This window comes from Homo sapiens, chromosome 18 (genome assembly GCF_000001405.40).
Source record: "Homo sapiens chromosome 18, GRCh38.p14 Primary Assembly".
NCBI lineage: Eukaryota > Metazoa > Chordata > Mammalia > Primates > Hominidae > Homo > Homo sapiens.
In genome coordinates, this window is record NC_000018.10 from 26,825,153 (window position 1) to 26,850,138 (window position 24,986).

General features: G+C 41.9%; 1 pseudogene; it reads right to left on the reverse strand.

Moving 5' to 3' along the window:
• Positions 5,600 to 7,369, reverse strand: UFD1P1 (UFD1 pseudogene 1; annotated as a pseudogene).

Genomic DNA, 24,986 nt, shown 5'->3' on the forward strand with positions numbered 1-24,986 from the left:
GATGAAGAGGGCTGAGGCCTGTATTCTAGATTGTTTGCAGAATTCTAAATCACTACCAGGAAAGGGCTCAGAGAAAGCCGTCACTTTGTGAGACCTCAGAAGCAACCTGGAGCCAGGTCTGTGGTTGAAGAATGTTTCCAAACTGGGGTGATGGCTATGGCTATTTTTTTTTGTTGTTGTTGTTATTGTTGTCAGATGCCTCAGGGCGCCAACAAATGAGAGTGGGTTGTTGTCCTTAGAGGGTGTTTTTTTTTTTCTCTTCAATTTCTTACTTTGGGGAAAACTCTGGAAATGCTGTGTGTTTTTGGAGATTTCCAGGGGTTATTGTAGGAAGGGTAGAAGACTCCCCCATCCACACTGGGGTGACCCTCTGGGAAGGGTAGAAGACTCCCCCATCCGCACTGGGATGACCCTCTGGGTGCCACCGACTTCCCTGTCTGCAGACCCTCGGAAGCTGCTGTTCCGGCTCTAGTGGAAGTGACTCCTCATGATTAGAAAAGGCATTTTCAGCACAAAACTCTATAGTTTTGCATCATGCTGCCTTACTCTTCTTTCCATTAGGGTGAACAAATGTTTTATAACAACTTATCAGGTATCTACTTGTCACCTATAATAAAAACGCTGAGCACTTGCTATGGACAAGGGATGGTGCATATGTGCTTTCCTTTAATTCTCTCAATAGCTTTAGTGATTTCATCATCCTTCTTCTGTGAAGGAGAGAAATGAGGTTTAGAAAGATGAAGTTCCCACAGCTGGTAAGTGGCAAAGCTGGGATTGGATTTAAGTACAGTTCTATCTGGCTCTCCAAACCGGTTTTCACTAGGAGACATGTGTAACTCTCTCAGAGTGTCACTGGGAAGAATTATTCAGTATTATGCACTTTGAGTTAGAGAAACGTAAGCACATAATATTCCCTTTAGCCTCTTAAATTTCTGGGAAGAAGAGCAAAATAAAAAGATGAATACTTTTAGGTACCGTATTATTAACAGATTAGCTTGCATGCTGGTAACCAGATATACCTCTACCATCACAATATATTTATTCAGGGAAAGGAGGATAAATTAGTAGCTATTGTCTCACATGTAGGAAGGAGAATGGAGAATGGAGAACATTCTATACTGACACAAAGTGTCAGCCAATGAGAAGGGAAGACTATTCTTGTTAGTGAAGGAACTTCCCGATTACTGATCATTCTAGACATTCATATCTGGGTGCTTATGGCAAGCTGTGCTTGGTGAAGCTACCATATACAGGGAGGTTGTCCTCTGGTCCTCTTGCATGTGAGCACCGTGGCTGGAAGGACCTGGCTCACCTTCTGTGGCCCAGCTTCTCCAGGGCTTGCTTGAGAGTGGGCGGACATGTAGACAGGCTGGCTATCCCAGCAAATGAGAGTGATTCTCTTTGCAAGTTTTAGTAGCCAGGGTGTTTCCTAACATGAAGAATGATTTCATATATAATTGTATAACATCGTGATAAGTGTTTTTAAACAACAAAACAATACATCAGAGATAGACTTGCCAAGCTCAAAAGCAATCCAGATGGATTTTCTGACGTCTTTCTGCACCAGCATTTTCTTTATGTTCTTAGGAAATAGCTGGAGAGGTTTTTATAGCCATTCAGATTTCAATCTTGGGACTCAGAAAGTTTTGATATTGTAGAGTGAAGTGTGCAACTATTAAACTTGAACTGCTCTGGACAGCTGTGCAGATGGGAAAGAACTACCATGTTCAAAACATTTTCTTTTTGTTTTGTACATTCCTTACAGTGCAGCTGGTTAAATTCTCTGTAAAAAGATGGTGTGCAGCTGTTTCTCTGAGGCAGACCCTGAAGGCAAATACCCATCACCCCAAATACCCATCACCCCAGCACGTCCTTTCCTATCTTGGCAAGTCGTTTTGTCCTTAACTCTATTGTGTATAACCATGAAACATTGCTATTTATCTGAATCTTCTTTAGGATACAATACATGAGCTCATTCTCAGAAGTTCCAGGAACACGGCACTCCATCGTAAAATATTTTCTATGTCTCCCACCCCCTCTCATTTTCACAGTTTCCATGGCAACATTTGGCTCCGATGGCACCTCCAGGATTATTACTATCATCACAGTTATTTCTTCTGATTACTATTGTTGCTTATGGTCATCAACATCATTTTGACTGTCGGTTAGTCAGATCTTGATCCTAAACACCTGGCCTCTGGGGAGTGTTTCCTCAAAACAGTTGAAAAGTTAAAAAAAAAAAAAAGGAATGCAAATCCCAAGAGATTACCAGAGGTGCAATTATCCTACATCAGGTTTAAGTTTCTCTTTAAAAAAATTTCCCCATCAGTCATTGTAATCCTTCCAGAATATACGTAGATAAGTTTGTCATGATACCAAAATAGACATGGTTGTCAATACTGCTGTTTTGTTTTTAGAGAAGGAAAGTGTGTGTGCATTTGTGTGTGTGTGTTGGTGGGTTGAGAGGGGAATTATGAATCTAAAGCTTTCTAACATTGCTAAAGGAATTTTTCATGAAATGTTGGAAACTGGTTGTTTAGAGATGAACAAAATAGTTTGAGACTATTATCCACTGATTTTTCCATACTTGCTGTCGACCCTGTGAGCCTCCTTGAGGCTCAGAGGGGAATAGGCTTCCTTTGTAAGAGTTACTGCCTTATGAATTAGTGTAACACTGGGATGCCCTGTGCTTTTGAGATAGACTTAGACTTGACTCGAAACACTACCTCCGAGGCCATGAGAATCCAGAAGCATCATATTAATTTCTGCAAGTTTCTTCAGCTGTCTTTTTGTGTGTCCTTCTGTCCCTGGGCTCCTGTGTGGATGCTGGCTGCTCTGCTGGGTTTAGTGAAACCCTAAATGCAGAATTTGGCCTCTTTAGCTATCTTATATCAAGCTAGCCTGTCCTTTCACACTTCCTCTCCCTCCTTTTCTTTTCCTTCTCTTCCTGTTTCCTTTCTCCCTCCTTCATTCCCACCTTCCTTTCACTTTTTCGGGAAACCTTGCTGAGTTGGTGGGTCACTGGGAGGAGTCATATCATAGGGCACAACCTTTCCTCCCCTGTCTGCTAGCTCCACCCTTTCACTCCCATTCTTCCCTTTCTTCCTGGTGCATTGAAGAATTTCTTCTTTTTGTCTCATTTAGGGCAGCCATCCCTGAAAGGAATTCTAGTTTCCCCACTTGGTTTTAGTCTGCACGTAGATATATTTGTTGCACCTGCAAAAAATCAATTCCACAAACTCTTTCTCAAAGGGGAGAAGGACAAAACCAAATGTTAATTTATGTTTTGGTGGCAACAGAGCTGCTCTAACTGAGTGCTCAAAGCCCTGCCTTACTGCCTCCTGGTCACCGAACACAATCTCAGATGCTTCTAGGAACCTGGCAGGTGACATACACGAGTTGAGGGAATCTGGTGGAAGAGGCAGTGTGGAGTGAGGGACAGAATATGTGTCCAGAGTCACAGTTTACTCAAAGGGACCACAAGCAACTGGGCTCCAGCTGATGGCTGCCAGTGAGGATGGAGGTCCAGTGTGGCCTCATTACCCAATTTTTAAGAATTTAAAGGTCTAATTTTTATTAAAAAATTCCCAAAATGTGAACCTTGGCAGCTGTTTTTTCAAAAAACTTTGCAAGACAATATTGTGTTGGTTACCAAACTATGCAGGAGAGACAGACCTAAACCACATGGGAGAGACCGACCTAAACCATGTGGGAGAGACAGACCTAAACCACGCGGGAGGGACAGACCTAAACCATGCGGGAGAGACATGCCTAAACCATGCGGGAGAGACACACCTAAACCATGTGGGGGAGACAAACCTAAACCATGCGAGAGAGACATGCCTAAACCATGCGGAAGAGGCACACCTAAACCACATGGGGTAGACATACCACGCAGGGGAGACAGACCTGAACCACATGGGAAAGACACACCTAAACCACGCGGGAGAGACAGACCTAAACCATGCAGGGAGACACGCCTAAACCAAGTGGGAGAGACACACCTAAACCACACGGGACAGACGCGCCTAAACTACATGGGGTAGACACACCACACAGGGGAGACAGACCTGAACCATGTGGGAGAGACACACCTAAACTATGCAGGAGAGACAGACCTAAACCACGCGGGAGAGACAGACCTAAACCACGCGGGAGAGACACACCTAAACCACGCGGGAGAGACACACCTAAACTACGCGGGAGAGACAGACCTAAACCATGCGGGAGAGACAGACCTAAACTACGCGGGGGAGGCACACCTAAACCATGTGGGAGAGACACACCTAAACCACGTGGGGTAGACATACCACGCAGGGGAGACAGACCTGAACCACATGGGAAAGACACACCTAAACCACGCGGGAGAGACAGACCTAAACCATGCAGGGAGACACGCCTAAACCAAGTGGGAGAGACACACCTAAACCACACGGGACAGACGCGCCTAAACTACATGGGGTAGACACACCACACAGGGGAGACAGACCTGAACCATGTGGGAGAGACACACCTAAACTATGCAGGAGAGACAGACCTAAACCACGCGGGAGAGACAGACCTAAACCACGCGGGAGAGACACACCTAAACCACGCGGGAGAGACACACCTAAACTACGCGGGAGAGACAGACCTAAACCATGCGGGAGAGACAGACCTAAACTACGCGGGGGAGGCACACCTAAACCATGTGGGAGAGACACACCTAAACCACGTGGGGGAGACAAACCTAAACCATGCGAGAGAGACGTGCCTAAACCATGCGGAAGAGACACACCTAAACCACGTGGGAGAGATGCGCCTAAACCACATGGGGTAGACAACCACTGCTGCTTTGGGGTTGCCTGTTCTGCCCAGGAGGATCTTGGGCAGGAAGTTTCCTGTTTGGTTCCAGTCTATTTTTTTGTTTGTTTTTTGATATGGGGTTTCTCTCTGTCACCTGGGCTGCAGTACAGTGGCATGATCTCGGCTCACTGCAACCTCTGCCTCCCGGGTTCCAGTGATTCTCCTGCCTCAGCCTCCTGGGTTGCTAGGATTACAGGTGTGCACCACCACACCCAGCTAATTTTTTTTTTTTTTTTTAGTAGAGACGGGGTTTCACCACATTTGCCAGGCTGGTCTCGAACTCCTGACCTCAGGTGATCCGTCCGTCTCTGCCCCCCAAAGAGCTGGGATTACAGGCGTGAGCTACCACACCCAGCCTGGTTCCAGCCTTTCTCCTCCCCTCTGTGATGTGGTCCTTGCTGATGCCCAGCCAGGTTGGAGTGTCCTTTACATTCGGAGAAGCTTCAAGGGATCATGGGGCTTGAGGCCTAGTCAGCTCCTTGATTCTAACTCAGCAGCAGCAAAGTTTGTAGCTGAATCAAATACAAATATCACTCCCAGCCTAGATTTTCGGTCACATTTCCTCCTGCCCCAGGGCCAGGATCCACCTCTCACCATCTTTGTCTTTCAGTTGCTAGAAAAGATTGCATTATTCCCTCCATGTCTTGGTCCATTGAGAGAAGAAAGAATTTAAATGCTTAAGTTATTTTCCTTTTCTCTTTCTCTTGGTAACAGGTTAGTTCAGCTCTCAGTGTGGTTTTTTTTTTCTTTTTTTGAAGCTTGGATAATTTAATAAATTAAAATTGGGAGTGGAGGAGTAGGGCAGAAGGAAAAAGAGGAACATCTCTTTAGCATTTGTTCATTCTAACATTCACATGTTTGCTTCTCCATGGAATTGTTTTACTATGAACAGGTTCACTAAGGAGCCAATTATGTCCATGTGAAATGAGAATAAAAGTGCAAACTCATTGAGATCAGGTTCTTCTGAGGAGTGGTGCTTTTGAAAAAAATATGTAAAATAAAAATAGAAACACTCTTTGTCAAATACTTAAATTGCAGCCACAGTAGTGGGACAGCCACTACTTATAGAACACATGTCTATTTAAACCCTTTTTTTAGGCCAAAGACTGACACCTATGCAATTGACCTAGGAAAAGAAAGGATAAAGGAAGGAAGAGAAAGAACACTTCATGTTAGACAATTCAGTCACCTTCATTGGTTTTGACATAATTAGGGACTCAGAATTGCTCCTGCTGAGGCAATGGGAGCCCCACTCAAGCTGAAAGCATGAGGAGGTGAGGAGGCAATTGCCTCCAGGTCCTCAGGGACAGATCTTTGTCTTTCCCCAAATCAAGCATACAACTACAAAGTCCTGCTGCTCCACTTCCAAGTCAAAGTTGATAATTCTTAGGTACCTCTAAAGAAATCTTGAGTAACAGGGTATTCTCTGATGAGGCTCCTCCCTTCAGTGCCAGTAACTAAAAGCCAAGATGTTGCAATTAATTCTTTTATTATTTTCCAATCAGCCAACAGTCCTCACTTAGGGCTTTCTTCCCTTTTTACTCAACGACTGTCCTTCTCCAGAGAAAGCAACGAATCTGCCTCCAGCTTCATCCTCTTCAAACTTTTTGACAAGGGGACATGCATTTCTGATGAAAGGTGTCTTACCAAGTTTAAATTCATGATTGGGAATTCCTCTTTTAATGTCTCCAGGCTTGATTGGGGAGGGGCTTTCTTTCTTTCCATCCAGTCTGTTGCCAGAGCCGGAGAAGGCACGGAAGCCCAGCTCTCCAGCATAGCCACTGTGGTCGGCTTCACCTTCTGTCAACTCCTCGTGCTGGACTTGTCTTTCGGGTTCTTTGTAGCCCAGGGGAGCATCAGAGTCCACGTTTGTGTCACACTCAGTGATGGACACTGCCTTGTTGGGTTTGGTTTCCATCACACGCAGTTCGAGTTCATAGATCTTTTCATTACAGTTGATGGCAGTCACATTCCCGGTGGTCAGACAGGCAAAGTTCCTAAGTGCGTTGTCTAATACAGCTTTGGGGTTAGTGATGTCCAGGATGTCAGGGCTCTGAGGCTGGAATTTGGAGTAGGTGGCCACTTGAAGGTTGACACTCTCCACCTAGACCAGGCTGCCTTCTTCCAAGAGCAAGTTCTGCATCATCCAGTGTGGGAGGTAGCAGATGCCCTCATCAGCCACAAACTCCAGCACGCCACAGTGCGTCATGCGGTCCAAATTCTTACTGGTCAGTTTGAACAGCATGGGATAGGTAATGTTAAGTTGGCTGAGTTGGTCCAGGGCTGAGGGCAGCATAATTATCTTCCCTCCTTTCTCCACATCTGACTTGTCATTAGGCCCTGCTAGCGTGGACACAGAGAAGCAGCGGTAGTGTGTGGAGAAGCGGTTTTGGAAGACCCTGGGAATTAGGTGGTTGAACATGTTGAAAGAGAACATGATGGACACCACCTCACAGACACCGCTTCTCTCAGGGAATGCGACAAAGGCACCCTGCCGACCGCTGTCCTCGCTGCCGCCGCCACCCCAGTGTGTTGTTTTTAACCTTGACTTCTAAAAGATCAGAATGCAGATCTCCTTAAGCATAAAATTCATCAAAAAGTGTACTCTCTCTCTATATATATATTTTGAGACAGAGTCTTGCTATGCCACCCAGGCTAGAATGCAGTGGTGCGAACATGGCTTACTGCAGCCTCAAACCCCTGGGCTGAAGTGATTCTCCTACCTCAGCCTTCCAAGTAGCTGGAACTACAGGCACGTGCCACCACACCCAGCTTATTAAATTTTTTTTTTTTTTTTTTGTAGAGACAGGGTCTTGATATGTGCCCAGGCTGGTATGAAACTCCTGGGCTCAAGTGAGCCTCCTGCCTTGGCCTCCCAAAGTGCTGGGACTACTGGTGTGAGCCACCACACTTGGCCAGAGTGCCCATTCTTAGCAAACTCCAAAATGTTTGTTCTGGGGTCTCAGGCAATGCCTTGCCATTTCTGGTGCCTGCCCCTCCCACACTGCAGCCTGGGAATTGCTGTGGTTGGTGAGGCGGTGCAGTCCCTTGTGTGTGCCCATCCCCTACATGGGAAGCACACTGGTGGGTGCAGGCTTTCAGGCTCTAACCAGAGTCTAGAATTTGGCCTGTGAGCCTTTTGACCAGAGGCTTGTTAACAGACAAGCAATTCCTTTCAACACTGGAATCTTTTCTGGATAGGAAAAGAAAGCTCATTGTCAACATGCCCGGTGTACTCAGAGTCTCTCCCTGGCCCACACAAAGGCCATGAATCCCCTGGATAAACAGATTATCAATGTAAGTACCTTTTCTCTCACCAATTCACAGACATTTATTGAAGACCTGCTATCTGCTGGGTGTTAGGAAGACACACTTCTAGAGTGTTATTTGTGCCCTTGAGGAACTCAAGGTCTAGTGTGGGAACAAACGTGTAACCCAGCAAGTTTGTGCAGACCGATAAAGACACAGCATGAACAGCGATGAGGAAAAGCAGCCCTCGGGTAGAAGTTCAGAGAATCTGCTTGGCCAAAGTGGGGTGGAGGCGCCGCCCAGGTAGAGGGCACAGAGGCCTGCACTTGGGCGCGGAGGTGGAAAGGACAGTGCTTGTTCTGGAAATGCAGTTTATGGTTAAGGAAAATGTTGCAGAATGTGTGTCCAGAACCCCCAGAGCCCTGGATCTCTCAATGAGAGGCTCTCCCCAGGAGAGGCTGGCTGGGGTAAAACTGACAGGATGAGTGATTCACGTTGCCCATTTCACTTTCATTCTAAGACATTCATACTTAGCGTGGAATGCTAGGTGAAGCCATTTTTACTGTTAACTATACATTAAAAAAAATTTTAGTGCCTATGCATGTAATTGAATTAGTGAAAATTAAGTGAAAGAATGATGCAACCCCAATGGAGAGATCTTTTTCAAATACCCAAAGAACACCTTCAAAGTACACATCCAGTGCTATTCAAAAACTCTGTTTTGAGCTGACTGCCATTAGGCTCTCAAAGGTTATATAAGAGAGACACCCTTGGGCATTGGAGGCACCGTAGTGTGACGGTTAATAGCATGAACTTGGATGTGTTGGACATCTGGACTTGAATCCAGGCGTTCTCCCTTAATAGTTCTTGATGCTGGGCAAGTTAATCTCTGCCTCGGTTTTTCACTGTTGCTCTTGTTCTCTCTGGGTTTTTTCATGCTTCTTCAGGTCCCAGAGCCTTTTCCTCCTCTCTCTTCACCTACTTACCTCCCACACAGCATTTCAAATGTCCCTTCAAATAGCATTTCAGATAGCATTTCATTTATTTTTTATTTTATTATTATTATGTTTTTGAGATGGAGTCTCACTCTGTCGCCCAGGCAGAGTGAGTACAGTGGCATGATCTCGGCTCACTGCAAGCTCCGCCTACCAGGTTCACACCATTCTCCTGCCTCAGCCTCCCAAGTAGCTGGGACTACAGGCACCCTCCAACACACTCGGCTAATTTTTTTGTATTTTTAGTAGAGACGGAGTCTCACCATGTTAGCCAGGATGGTCTCGATCTCTTGACCTTGTGATCCACCCGCCTCAGCCTCCCAAAGTTCTGGGATTACAGGCGTGAGCCACTGCGCCTGGCTCTCAGATAGCATTTCAAATGCTCCTTCAAGATGATAATGAAAATGATATCATAACACATTGTGCCTTTTCTTCACAGCATCTCTATTTTAGTTCTGTGTGTATCTGTGATTAATTTATGCGTGCCTCCAGCACTACCCTTTTTTGTTTGGGTTTGGATCATAATTCCAAAAGACACAATCCTGAAAGCCAAAATCCCGAATGTTGAAATTCTGAAAGACCAAACTCCCAGAAGTCTAAAATCCCTAATGTCTAAAAATCCTGAAAATCACAGTCACATGTTGGGTGGAACTATTACCTTGTTACTGTCTTTATGCAGAAGAAAATGAATTTCAATAGAATTTCCAAACCATAATCACAGATTTGGAATTAGGTGTGCTCAAAGCTACTAAAAGTGAATTTCTAGTTGTTAAAAATAAAGTTTGTCTTTCCCACTCAGCTCAATGCATTTGGTGGAAAATTCAAGTGAATAGATTGGTTATATGATATGGCAAGGACAAAAACTTTAGTTTAAAAATTTGTCATCTTTGAGTATTGGCATTTCTTCCGCCTGATGACATTGCAGGAACTTTTAATAAATTAAAGCCACATTTGGCTGAAGAAGCCAGAGAAGTTACTGACTGGCTAGGAAATAATTATATGCACAGTAAGATAAGAAGACACTTAGGCAACGGTGTTGCTGTTGGATCACGGTATTGTTTCCAACACATTTGTCTGTATATGAGTGCATGTAAAATGGATTTCTGCATACCCAAAACAACAGAGAGGCAGAGCACAGAAGATGGGAAAATTTAATAGGAATGCTGATGTCAATGTATATAAAATTATAGAAGAATTCCAGAAAGGGCAGAGCCACGGAGAAAATGAATGTGAATGTATTCACTGAAGACAGCCATGTCCTAAAAGAAAAACAAACAAACAAACAAAAAAAACTCCCCAAAAAACCCATCAGACCTAAATGCAAGACTTCAAAATATAGTCAATGATTGTGAAAGTCGGCCGGCTTTTGTAGACTAACTCTGTGCAATTGCCCATAATTTATCCCTGTAATACACTTTTTATAGGTGTTAATTTCTAGCTTTTATCTTTTTTCAAGTTTTTTTTCCACGATTTTAAATTGTCCACATTATTTTTTACAATTCGCTATGCTATGCATTTAATCTTTGCATCGTTCCAATACTGGAGCTATAAATTGTCTAAAGATTTTTAGAGAATTCTCATTCATTTTATGCATTTTTGTTTTTTGCAAATTTAACTCCACAAAGATGCATTATCACAGCGTTGGCTTTGTTTGTAAGCATTGTGCATGTACCTAAAATAAAAACATTGAAACTTCTTCAGTAAATGAAGAGGTGTCCTTTTTGTGCATCTGCATTTGTGAAAGATAAAATTTCTTGAGCTCTTGGCTCTTTGGGTGAATGGTGTGTTGGTGATGTGGTGGTGACCCATCACAGGTTTTGATTGATCTCATCGAAAGACTTAGGTTGTCTGTCATAGTACTTCAGCTGACTGTAGTTATAAAGCTGAGTGCACACAATTATCATAGTGAAGGTCTTTAAAATACTTGAAATAGAAGAATATTGATTCCATGTTAAAATCTTTTGATTTTAACATGGTATGCATGTGTGTATTTCACTTATCTATTTCTTTATGAATGTGGTTTATCTGCTTATAACTGTTATACCCATGTGACTATCATTAGTATACCTGAATGTTTATGCTTGCAAACATATTATGTTATTATTGCCTATTTTATTGTGTAGAGTGGCCTATGAAGTATTGTCATGTTTTTATGTTTCTCAAATAAAGTCACTTTTAAAAATGTTAAGTAAATATCTTTAAAATAATTTTTAAAATTATTTTTCCATGATAATATTTTCAGGACTTCAACACTTGGAACTATGGTGTTCATAATTGTGTCTTTTGAGATCATGATTGGCTCCAGTTTTGTTCACCACTGTGGCCCAGTTTAGCATAGTATTTGTCACATAGAAGGTATGTGATTGGCCAGGTGCGGTGGCTCATGCCTGTAATCCCAGCACTTTGGGAGGCCGAGGCAGGCAGATCACCTGAGGTCAGGAGTTCGAGAACAGCCTGGCCAAACATGGTGAAACCCCGTCTCTACTAAAAGTACAAAAATTAGCCGGGCGTGGTGGCGGACACCTGTAATCCCAGCTACTCAGGAGGCTGAGGCAGGAGAATTGCTTGAGCCTGGGAGGCGGAGGCTGCAGTGAGCCAAGATTGCACCACTGCACTCCAGCCTGGGTGACAAGAGTGAGACTCCGTCTCAAAAAAAAAAAAAAAAAAAAAAGAAGGTATGCGGTCAATATTTTTGAGTGAATAGGTAAATAGATACTTCCTTTGTAAGCTTGATTGAGGGCTGCATTGTATAATGCATCTAAGCTATTTGGCACAGTGCCTGCTATATAGTCAGCATTCAATAAATGTTGAGTTAAATAATTATTCTTATTCCTTTAGGTATGCTGTTCTCTAGTCCTATAGTGGACTGAGTAATGAACAATTTGTGTGTCGTTAGCTAAGTTCCAATAGTTCTATTAGCTAAGTTTTTATGGTGAAAATGCTTTAGGTTCAATATTATGCCCTTGGCTCTGAGTGTTGATTTAAGAAATGGAGACCTTCTAGGTCATCTGTGGAGCCACTGAAAAGGATTTTATGCACAGTGTGGCAATTTGGAGCAGGAGTTTGGAAGTAGGTTGCCTGGGCCCAGGTTATTGCTGCTTCGTTTTAGCTGTAACCACGGGTGACTTATTTCTCTGTGCCTTTGTTTTCTAACCTGTAAAGCAGGCATAATAATCTACCTTACAGTGCTGTTATGAGGATTAAATTACTAATACATATGAAGAGTTTAGGAGAGTATTTGGCACATAGTCGATATTCAATATATGTTAGCTATTATTTTATAAGGACTTATGGGACAAATTCTTCCTGGAATTTGGTAGAAAAACTAAAATAGTAACTCTTGAAGAGCTGGTATATGTATTTTTTAGTTTATGGTAGATTTACTATAGGCCACTACATTTCTTCTTTTGACTTATTATCAGAAATTTTAGAGCTAAATTTAGTGCTGAAGTGCAGCAAATATCTCATCTCTGACTCTGTATCATCCTTCTGTCTATATTCTTTGTTATTTCTTATCTTCATCCTGTGTACCCAGATATCTTTTTTAAAACTTGAAATCTACCTCAAATCCTTTTAGGAAGTAGGCGGGGACACATATAATAAATGCATGAATTCCAAATAATAGAAAGAAAACACATTTTAGGTGATATTTACTTCAGGTAAACTTTATGTGATCCAAAATTTTCCCTATGATCCTGTATAGACTGTTTCACTCCTTTTTGAATAACTAAAAGCAAATTCAGTATTCTGGTGGGAACCATTTATTATGGAAATTCTAATATAAATTATGTATCAAATGCTAACTAGAAATTGCAAAATTTTGCTGGAAGTATTTGAAAAGTTCAAATTATTTTCCACTATTCATATCATAGCATCATAAAATTTTAGAATAGGATACAATTTGTTTAGTTTTCATGTTTCACTTGGTGTGAGCAATAAGAGTCCTGACCAACTTAATTTTATGTTAATTGAGTTTCAATTTCTTTTTGTTTTGAGACGGAGTCTCGCTCTGTTGCCCAGGCTGGGGTGCAGTGGCGCGATCTCAGCTCACTGCAAGCTCTGCCTCCTGGGTTCACGCCATTCTCCTGCCTCAGCCTCCCAAGTAGCTGGGACTACAGGCGCCCGCCACCACGCCCGGCTAATTTTTTGTATTTTTAGTAGAGACGGGGTTTCATCGTGTTAGCCAGGATGGTCTTGATCTCCTGACCTCGTGATCTGCCTGCCTCGGCCTCCCAAAGTGATGGGATTACAGGCGTGAACCACTGCACTCGGCCACAATTTCTTTTTAGAAATGAGACAAAATTGTATTTTTATGGCATTGTGATGTTGGACAATCTCAGCAGTTCGGTATTTCATTTGACCCTCTACTCAGGGCAACACCTGAACTACTTGAAATAGAAGAATATTGATTCCATGTTAAAATCTTTTGAAAAAGGTATTTTAAAGACCTTCATTAATAACTCACCTCAAGACTTAGCATTTCTCTTTTTTCTGTTTAATTTACATCTGCAAATTGAAGACAAAATTCATACCTCTATTGGGCAGGGAACAGAGAAGTAATTGACCATTTGTTGCATAACAGCCCATTGGGGAAAACCAGTAAAGACCAACTCATTCATTCATTCAGTCTTCAATCAATATATATTTATAGATTGCCATCTATGTGCTATGCACATGCTGGATTGTACAGATGCTCTTACGAGTCCTTATGCTTAATGAGTTTTATAGACTAGCAGGTGGAGACAACAAGCAATGAAATAAAAAAGAATTTTGAAAATGAACTCTTTCTGTCTGTGTTTTGATCAAGACATTGACATAATGGACATGGGAAACCAAAGTCAATGTGAAATAAGTTCCCTGTGACACAGGATTTATAAGGTAATGAATGCACTAGGACTAGTGCATTAAAGTTTGGACCCCTCATCCAGATGAAGGTTGTACAAGCTTGCAGAGCAGAAAGAAGGATTTGAGGAAGATTTTCTTGGAGGAAATGATGTTTAGAAGCCTCTAATTTTCTATCTGAAGGGGTAGGGTGGGAGGAGAGCACCACATTCTTTCCCTCAATCCTTTAATAGGTTCACTTGGAGAGCTCTGTGTGTTTTAGGAATGGGGGGAAGCTTGCACTGGGGTCTCACTCTTCCTTTGGAAATCCAGAAGGTGACAGAAAGGATGATACACTGCTTTGATGCTGCACAGGGATCAGCCTGCGTGCCTAGAGTTTATCAGAAGACATGTGAGTGTTTTTCATGGAAGAAAGGGCCAAACTGGAACCATCCTAATTCCTGCTGTGGAGCAAAGGGAGAGGGCTGATGGTAGGACTTAAAGATCAATGCATCCCCTCCCCTTCTCATCTTGAGAATTGCAGGTAAAGAGAGTCCCTAAGGATGAGAATTCCAAAAAATTGAAAACAGAACACCAACTCATGAGGGTAAGAGTTCAGCTCTAATAAGTTGCTTGACCCAGATAGCTCAAAGCCACCTAACCACTATTTTTATTTGCTAAATCGGTCAACTGTTTGCTTCCTTCCCTTCTTGTCCATAGCTGAATGAGCTGCTGTCCAGCGTGAAAGAGTAGGGAGAGAGCAGAAGCTGGTCACACCCCTCTCTGGCAGCAGGCAGCTGCCAAATGTAGGCCTAAGCAAGAGAGAGAGGAAGAATTAACTTTGAAGGAATATTGAGGAGTTGCTTAATATTTTGGGGAGAACACATTCCAGTTAGTGAATCAAGTTTTGTGAATTAATGTGATCATAGGACTCTCTTTTTCATGTAAGCAGAAAATTGTGGGGATCCACCAACTTTCCTTACAGAGATGGAGGAGATTATCATCACTGAACAAAAGTTTACAGGGACACAAATAGACAAATATAAATCTGTGTTTTTGTCCCAGCCACATCCACATCCACATATTTGTGGGAGGAACACAAGGTTTTAACAGGGGGCATGTTGCAGAGGCATTTTTCCTAGATTCGGGGGTTTCTCAGAGGAAGTAACATTATTCCAAGAGCAGAAGCGATGAGAGGATTTCTGTGCAAGGTTGGCAAGTTAAACACTTTCACTCCCTCCCAAGGTCTCCACAAAACAACTATATGGTGATTTTTTAAAAAGTCTTGGCCGGGAGCGGTGGCTCACGCCTGTAATCCCAGCACTTTGGGAGGCCGAGGCGGGCGGATCACGAGGTCAGGAGATCGAGACCATCCCGGCTAAAACGGTGAAACCCCGTCTCTACTAAAAATACAAAAAAAAAATTAGCCGGGCGTGGTGGCGGGCGCCTGTAGTCCCAGCTACTTGGGAGGCTGAGGCAGGAGAATGGCGTGAACCCGGGAGGTGGAGCTTGCAGTGAGCCGAGATCCCGCCACCGCACTCCAGCCTGGGCGACAGAGCGAGACTCCGTCTCAAAAAAAAAAAAAAAAAAAAAAAAAAAAGTCTTAATCCCTAAAGGATAAGAACAACAAAAAAGGAGGCAATAGCTGCAAAGTTTTGTAACCTGGAAAGTAGGTGGGTGAGTAGTGAAGGACCAGAGAGAATGGAAGTCTAAGCTAAAGTAGAGAAAGATGAAATCCAACACACTTTACTCCTCAGGATTGACAGCTCAGAAATAAGTAGCACGTGGCACTTCCAAACGTGGGCTACTTAGAAGGACTAACATGAGGAGGATTGACGGAAAGCTCTTGAAGTACTCAGATTCCCAGATCACCTTGCCAGCTTCATAAAGCCATGCAAAAGATCTTCCCAACCCTGGCAGGAGAAGGTGGATTTATTTTTTCTAGAGACAGTGGACTCAGTTAAAGATGGAGATACCATAAAAAAATTAGGAGATAAAATGCACGTATACAAAACTGGATGTTGAGAGCATCTCCTAGCCTCCTTCCCACATTCAGCTTCCAGAGGTCCAGCAGCCAGGTCTTCACCTTCCATGCAGGGGGCAGTAGAGCTTTCTCTGAGGAATCTGACCAGCCCACGAACAAAGACCTGCAAATATTGACATCAAGGCTTCCCCACTTTGATGGCTGGGGAAACTGCCCAATCAATTACCCTAAAGTTCACAGTTCATAAGTTCTACACACACTTACGCTTGAAGGATTTGGTCCCCCCACAACGCCACTTAAACGTGAGCAGACAGCCAAGGATAATCAGATGTCTGAGTAAAGCGTCTAACAGAGTGCAGGAAGCCCAATATCGGAATAACAGGAGCTGAAGAAGAGAGGTAGATAAAATGCAAAGTAGGATGTAAGGATCAATTCAAGTAAATATCTCAGAATTAAAGGATTTGAGTTCTATATTGACAAGCTCACTGAATGCCTAGCAAAATAAATGAATAAAAATAGACCCAAGACATATCATTATTAAATTTCAATGCACTAGAGAGAGAGAGAGAGAGAGGATCCAGGATTAGAAAGATAAATGGCATCAGATTTCTCATCAACTAGAAGCCAGAGGCCTTCACAATTTCCATACTCAGCAAAACTACAAATCAATTTTCAGGATAAACAAAGAAGGAGGAAAGTAGAGAACATGAGAAACACTTGAGAGGGGTAAAAGGAATCCCCAAGATGATGGTGACGGGAGATTCTAGGATGACAGACAGTTACCAGGTGAGAAGCTCCAACAGTCCAGGTTGGAGCAGGAAGGCTGTCAGAGAGGTTTCTTTAGGAAGGTGAAACTGATAGAATGCTTGCTATGTCCAAACACTTAAAGAGGAAATGTAGACAACTGATGAAGGAGTTGCAGGTTGAACTGATAAATACGTAAAAAATTAAGAAAACAAAAATTAATATTATTATTAACTTTAGGAAAAAGAAAAATTCATGCAAGAAAAGCAAAGAAACCAGGTTAACTCCATGGCTCAGTGTGTATGTATATATTTGCGTGTCGGAAACAAGGGAGAGAATCACAATAAATCTTCTTCTTTAATAGTGTCAAGTCAATAGATAAATGTCTAAAACCCAGAGCTAACAAAATCAGCAAGTGGCAGCACAAATCTATTATTTAGAAACATAGAGGTAATTACCAAAATATATAGTTAGAATAGGTGAAAGTGATTGCCTTTAGGGGAGAGGGGAAAAATGAGTGGAAAGAGTAGGGCATTATCAGTAGGGCAAACTTTTGTAGAGCTGTTAAAATATATTCTGTATAAAAGAACTACATTTTTTTCTTTTTTTTTTATTATACTTTAAGTTCTGGGGCACATGTGCAGAACGTGCAGTTTTGTTACATAGGTATACACGTGCCATGATGGTTTGCTGCACCCATTAACCCATCATCTACATTAGGTATTTCTCCTAATGCTATCCCTCCCTTAGCCCCTCACCCCCCGACAGGCCCCAGTGTGTGACGTTCCCCTTCCTTTGTCCATGTATTCTCATTGTTCAACTCCCACTTATGAGTGAGAACAGGCAGTGTTTGGTTTTCTGAAGAACTACATTTTTAAAAGGTGAGAAAGTTCAGGTGATGGCATTGTGGTGATTGGGTTAAAGTCCTTGGGGTCGGGGGTGGGGAAGAGAGAGAGAGAGAGAGAAAGAGAGAATGGCTCATATGAAGAATCAAAAGAAGTTCAATATAAGTGTGATGGGCAGAGGAGTGGTAGGGATGATGAAAAGGGCAGAAATGAGATATGAAGCTAGAGGATTAGTAGGGGCTAGATCATGAATGGGCTTTAATTTTATTCTAAGGACAACGAAAATCCAAAGAAGAACACTTTCACATTGAAGAACACTTTGACATTTAAGGAAGAGGAAGCTCTAACAAAAGTAGCTTAAACAATAAAGGATCTCATTTTACTATGTTTTATCATATAACAAGAAGTCTAGGCTGATGACTCACACCTGTAATCCCAGCACTTTGAAAGCCTGAGATGGGAGGATTGCTTGAGGCCAGGAGTTTGAGATCAGCCTGAGCAACATAGTGAGACCCCCCTCCCACCTCTAGAAAAATAAAAAATAAAACTAATCAGGCATGGTGGTGCATGCCTGTGGTCCTAGCTACTCAGGAGGCTGAGGAGGCAAGATCACTTGAGCCCAGGAGTTTGAGGTTACAGCAAGTTATGATTGCACTGCTGCATGCCAGACTTGGTGACAGAGTGAGATCCTGTCTATTAAAAAATAAATTAATAGGCCAGGCATGGTGGCTCATGCCTGTAATCCCAGCACTTTGTCAGGCTGAGGCGGGCAGATCACCTGAGGTCAGGAGTTCAAGATTGGCCTGGCCAACATGGAGAAACCCTGTCTCTACTAAGAATACAAAAATTAGCCAGGCATGGTGGCACACACCTGTAGTCCCAGCTACTCGGGGGGCTGAGGAAGAAGAATCACTTGAGCCTGGGAGGCAGAGGTTGCAGTGAGCTGAGATTGCACCACTGCACTCCAGCCTGGGTGACAGAGTGAGTCTTGGTCTAAATAAATAAATAAATAAATAAATAATAAATAAATGTCTGGAGGTAGGATTGTTAATTTGGCAGCTCCTTGGCAACATAAAAGATCAGGATCATTTCTTTTTTCTACCCTGCTCTTCTCAGGTGCCAAGTATGTCCCTCAGAATAGCTGCAAAAGCCAGATGTTGCTTTTATTACACAACAGCATCCAAAGGGTAGAAATATCCATATGTTTCTGTATCAGTTATTTATTACTACATTGAAACCTACCACAACAAAATTTAATGTCCAGAAACAACCACCATTTTACTTGCTCATGATTCTGGGACTCAGCAGAGTGGGTTGGGTTCAGCTGGGCTGTTCTTCTGTTGCTCTTGCTTAGACTCTCATTCACCTGCAGTCCGTCAGTTGGTGGCTCAGCTGGGGTGGTGTTGTTCTAAGATAGCCTTACTTATAGGTCTGGGGCCTCAGCTGCATGGTTGGGGCAACTGGCTTCCCTGCTTCATGTGGTCTCATCCCTCAGTTGACTAGGCTTGGCTTCTTCACATGGCAATCTCAAAGCAGTGTTCCAAGGTAATGAGAGCTCAAGCTACAAGGTTTCTTGAGGCCTAGACTCAAAATCACACAATACCCAATTGGCTCCATTCTGTTGGTTAAAGCCAGTGGCCAGCTCAAATTCGAGGAATTAGGAATAGATTTTACCACATGATGGGAAAAACAGCAAAGTCATATTTCAAAGGTACACACACATAAGAATGGTATACATTATTATGGCCATCTTTGCAAATAAACCTATCGGAGCCCCTTTTTAAGTAAGAAATATTGTCTCAAATCACAGTCAATGAGTTATTCTCAAGCCCTTTTCTAAATCAGTCACTGGGGAGGACAATAAAGTTATTCTCATTGAGTAAGCTTAATAAGGATTGATTGACTCCCTGGGACTGAGAACACATCTTTCTCTGAAGCAAAATGATTTTTGTTGCAAACAAGTATGTGTGTGGGATCTGGGTAGAGAAATAAATAGTATCTCCCAGGTTTTACTAAAGGAAGGTTATTTCATTTTTAAGATATAACCTTGATTGCAGTGTGAAGATGAATTGGCGTGAAGCAAAATTGAAGGCACGTAGATCAGTTGCAGGGTTTCTGTTATGGTTTGGCTGTGTCCCCACCCAAATCTCGTCTGGAATTGTAGTTCTCATAATCCCCACATGTCGTGGGAAGGACCTAGTGGGAGGCAATTGAATCATGGGGGCAGTTACTCTCATGCTGCTGTTCTCGTGATAGTGAGTGTGTTCTCATGAGATCTGATGGTTTTGTAAGGGGCTGTTCCCTCATTCCTTGGCACTTTTCCTTCCTGCCGTAATGTGAAGAAGGATGTGTTTGCTTCCTCTTCTGCCATGATTTTAAGTTTCCTGAGGCCTCCCCAGCCGCGGAACTGTGAGTCAATTAAACCTCTTCCTTTCTGAATTACCCAGTCTCAGGCAGTTCTTTATAGCAGCATGAGAATGGACTAATACAGCTTCTGAACCTCAGCACTATTCACATATTAGGCCAGATAATTCTTTGTTGGGAGTGGGGGACTGCTCTATGTATTATAGAACGTCTGGAAGCATTGCTGGCATCTAGATACCAGAAACTCACTCTGAATTGAAACAACCAAAATTGTCTCCAGACATTTTGGATATTTCCTTGTGGGCAAGGTCACCCTTTCTTGATAACCACTGAGGCTGGAGGCTAATGCAGTTATCTATTGCAATGGTCTGAACCAAGGTAGAGGAAATAGGCATGGAGGCAAAAATAATTTAAGAGGTCTTTGATTTGGCAAATGATAGAATTGAAGAGAATTGGAGACTTCGTATACAATTTTTAATTTTAAGTTCGTCTGAAAAATCAGATCAGGCTACACTGGACCCAAGAACTCAGGTGGCAAAAATCTGCAGAGTTGAGTTTGCCCCAGTTTGTCCCAGTCTCTCCAAGGCCTTCTTGATTCTTTCCATTGCTTGCCTACCTACCCCTGCAAGAATTTGAGCTTAAGACCCCTGCCTTTGTTGAAGCTTTCTGGCTTTGAAATAGATACAAACATGAGAAGCATTACTATCTAAAAGGCCCCACATTATATCCTGTGTTCCCTCTGGCACGTATATTTAAATCGGACCTCTTAGGTCTCTTTTAATATATCATTCATTTTTTTTACATTCTGGTTCTAAAAGTATTACATGTCTGTTGTGGAAAACATAGAAAATACAACATGTATATTATCCCCAAATCCTATAGTCCTCTTGGATTTTGTTTTAGCTTTCCATATATCTTGGAAGTGGTGATTAGGACTCACAGGCCACCACCAGGAAGGAGCCAATCCTCTCTGTCTCCACTTGGGTAAACTTTATCGCATTTCTTAACCCAGATCCCAGGATGTTTCAGGACTAGAGCAGAGAGTTTTTTCCCAAACATCCATGGAAGAAAATTAAACAAGCTGTATTTTCCTCTTTGCTTTTGTGCATTTTAAGTCCATCATTCTGGGGGTTGCTAAGAATGTTTTTGAAACAATCAAAAGTTCAGGCAATTAAGTGGTTTTTTACATTGCCCCTCATGTCTCTTAGTGTTTCAAGAAAACATTTTCCATTCATGTTAGTTATCTCAAATTATTTTAAAAAATGAGCCTTAAGTGTACGATTTGTAAGTATGTGACAAAGTTCTTTTAAAACTGCTTGAATAATAGAAAAAACATGACATGCCTCTTGGAGAGCACAATGGACCATAATAATGTGAGGGAGAACAGATAAGAATGGATGTAATGGTTAGAATTAAATGATGTCTGACAATTACTTTCAATTTGAACTGAGGTGAAGAAAATCAGAATTACAATACTCTTGTGATTAAACTTTGATGAGATGAAAATGTCATTGTTTGATGAGAATTTTTTATTAGAGTTCAAAGAATATGAATGATTTAACCACAACATACTAACACCACAGGGCTGAATAATCTATATCTGAATTTCTCAAGTCTTCCTTACTGCAGGTCACTGGAGAAATCTCAGCTGCTCTCATTCCTCAGTTCTGTGACTGTTTCCATAATATCGGGTTTTGGAACAACAAGATAAAACTCAAGTCCTTTGTGATAAGTTTTGACATTGAAATCTTGGAGTAGCTTAATATGGTGAAACTTTTCCAGGAGCCAAGTACTAAAATTTAGACTCATTTTTTTAAAGAAATAAATTTTAGAGACTAGATGAGAGAAATGGAAAAATCCTGCTTTTATTCTGCATTCATTGATGAAATCAAGTGAGTCTTTTCATTTCATAAGAAGAATCTGTTTCCCTTTAAAGTGACGTTTTGGCAATTAAAATTGAGGTATGGGCTTGAGTTTGTTAAAGACAATGCATAGCCCGGTTCTCTTTGGGGCACTAATTACAATATAGGATGACAGGTACATGCTGACTTAGCACAGGGACTTTTTTCCGTACAGGGGCAACGGCTGTCTTAGTGATTCCTGCAGTCAATCGAGGGCAGAAGAGCTGGGAGCCCTTTTCCACCTACTTTGCTGCTACTGTGGGATGAGTGCTGTCCTTCCCTCCCTCTTCTCTTTTCCTCTCTTTCCTTTTTGGGGGCCCCAAATTTAAAAAATAGTTTTCCACAGTCATTGGTAGTACATTTTTTCCCACATTTTTAAAGATATTTTTTCTTCCAAGAGTCTGAAGTCAAAATGTTTGGGGACTTAGGGTACAATCCGGTAGTTTGGAAACAGGAAGGTGATAGTTATGATCAGTCCTATTTTTATAAATGCAAATCTTGGTCCTCTTATTGAAAGAAAGAGAAAGTACTGAAAATAGTCATTCTATCCAATCATTCCCCGAAGCTGTTGGCAGTGTAACAATGTTACAGTTTGGCCCAAACACACACACACACACACACACACACACACACACACACACACACCACTTTTATTTTGTTTTATTTTTAAAAAGCCCATCTTTCAACTCTATAGGCTGATTTAGGGTAAGTGATCAAACACTAGCTCAAGTGATTGCTGAACACCATCTTACTGATTTTCTTATTCACATTTTATAAAATAAAATCAATAAATATTTAATAAATAAATTTAACTTATTAAAATTTGTGATAGATCTTTGAACAAAATAGGCACTCAAGCACATATAAATTGGGTGATTAATAGGTAAATAAGGATTAAAATACATATTGACAATTGAAATTGAGATGAGAGCTTAAGTCTCAATGAAAGGCAGAGAGAAATGACCACAAAAATGGGATCTAATTAAACTAAAGAGCTTCTGCACAGCAAAAGAAACTACCATCAGAGTGAACAGGCAGCCTACAGAATGGGAGAAAATTTTTGCAATTTACCCATCTGACAAAGGGCTAATATCCAGAATCTACAAAGAACTCAAACAAATTTACAAGAAAAAAAACAAACAAACCCATCAAAAAGTTGGCGAAGGATATGAACAGACACTTCTCAAAAGAAGACATTTATGCAGCCAACAGACACATGAAAAAATGCTCATCATCACTGGCCATCAGAGAAATGCAAATCAAAACCACAATGAGATACCATCTCACACCAGTTAGAATGGCAATGATCAAAAAGTCAGGAAACAACAGGTGCTGGAGAGGATGTGGAGAAATAGGAACACTTTTACACTGTTGGTGGGACTGTAAAGTAGTTCAACCATTGTGGAAGTCAGTGTGGCGATTCCTCAGGGATCTAGAACTAGAAATACCATTTGACCCAGCCATCCCATTACTGGGTATATACCCAAAGGATTATAAATCATGCTGCTATGAAGACACATGCACATGTATGTTTATTGCGGCACTATTCACAATAGCAAAGACTTGGAACCAACCCAAATGCCCAACAATGATAGACTGGATTAAGAAAATGTGGAACATGTACACCACAAAATACTATGCAGCCATAAAAAATGATGAGTTCATGTCCTTTGTAGGGACATGGATGAAGCTGGAAACCATCATTCTCAGCAAACTATCGCAAGGACAAAAAAACCAAACACCACATGTTCTCACTCATAGGTGGGAATTGAACAATGAGAACACTTGGACACAGGAAGGGGAACATCACACCCTGGGGCCTGTTGTGGGGTGGGGAGAGGGAGGAGGGATAGCATTAAGAGATATACCTAATGTAAATGACGAGTTAATGGGTGCAGCACACCAACATGGCACATGTATACATATGTAACAAACCTGCACGTTGTGCACATGTACTCTAAAATTTAAAGTATAATAATAAAAAAAAGACTAACAAGGAAATTTGAGCCAAAAAGTGGAAGGTATATTGTATAAGAGGTTTCTGTCACCCCCCCTGCTCATTAAATAAAGAGTTTAATTGGCCATTCAAAGTCCCTTTCAAAAATACTTTGTAAGTTTAGCCGATTTATCTTCATGGCATTTGCACTTGAGTGTTTAAATCTTCCTTCAGAGGTGGTCAAAATGATTATTATAGATTAAGTCGGGAACTACTGAAGAGTTCCAATGCACTGCAATCTCTGTTGGATATGAAAAAGTCAAAGGCTTGGAAAAAGCAGATAATGAAAGCTGGAACTAGTGGAACCCCAAAGCACCACAGGTAAGAGACAACACAGGCAGTGGCTAAGAGCAGAGATCTACAGAAAGACTGTCTGGGTTCAAATCCTACTTCTATGGCTTAGTAGCTGTGTGTTTTGAACAAGTTACTTGCTATCCTTAGACTGCAGTCTTCCTGTCTTCCTTCCTTCCTTCCTTCCTTCTTTCCTTCCTTCCTTCCTTGCTTCCTTCCTTCCTTTCCTTCTTTCCTTCTCTCTCTGTCTCTCTCTCTCTTTCCGTTTTTTTTTTTAATTTTTTTTTTCTCGCTCTGTCGCCCAGGCTGGAGTGCACTGGCACCATCTCTGCTCATTGCAGCCTCCGGCACCCGGGTTCAAGTGATTCTCCCCTCTCAGCCTCCCTAGTAGCTGAGATTACAGGTGTGCGCCACTGTAACCAGATAATTTTTGTATTTTTTGTAGAGATAAGGTTTCACCATGTTGGTCAGCCTGGTCTTGGACTCCTGACCTCAGGTAATCCACCTACCTGGGCCTCCCAAAGTGCTGGGATTACAGGCATGAGCCACCGTACCTGGCCTAGCTGCAGTTTCTTTACCTGAAAAATGGGAATAGTAGCAGGACCTACCTCGTAAGGCTTCTATGAGGAATAAGTAAACTTATGTAAAGCTTGAGTAAGTGCACAAAAATACAAAGTTAATGTTACTATTATTCATATTGAAATGTGGAAGATCTTCTCACTAACTTTGCAGTTATCCTCAACTGTCTTTTCTAAACTAAATGAAAAACGTTTCAAATAGTGGGATTTATAACATTTTCCTAAGGATAAAACAACCAAAAATTTCCTAAATTATCCAAAGTATCCTAAATTAAACCCATTGTAGCAGTTAACGCTATTCTCTTATTTGAGACCTTTTGTAAGGTCTGCAATACTTAGTCTAGCCCTGTAGTACTTACTTTATTGCCCTTTG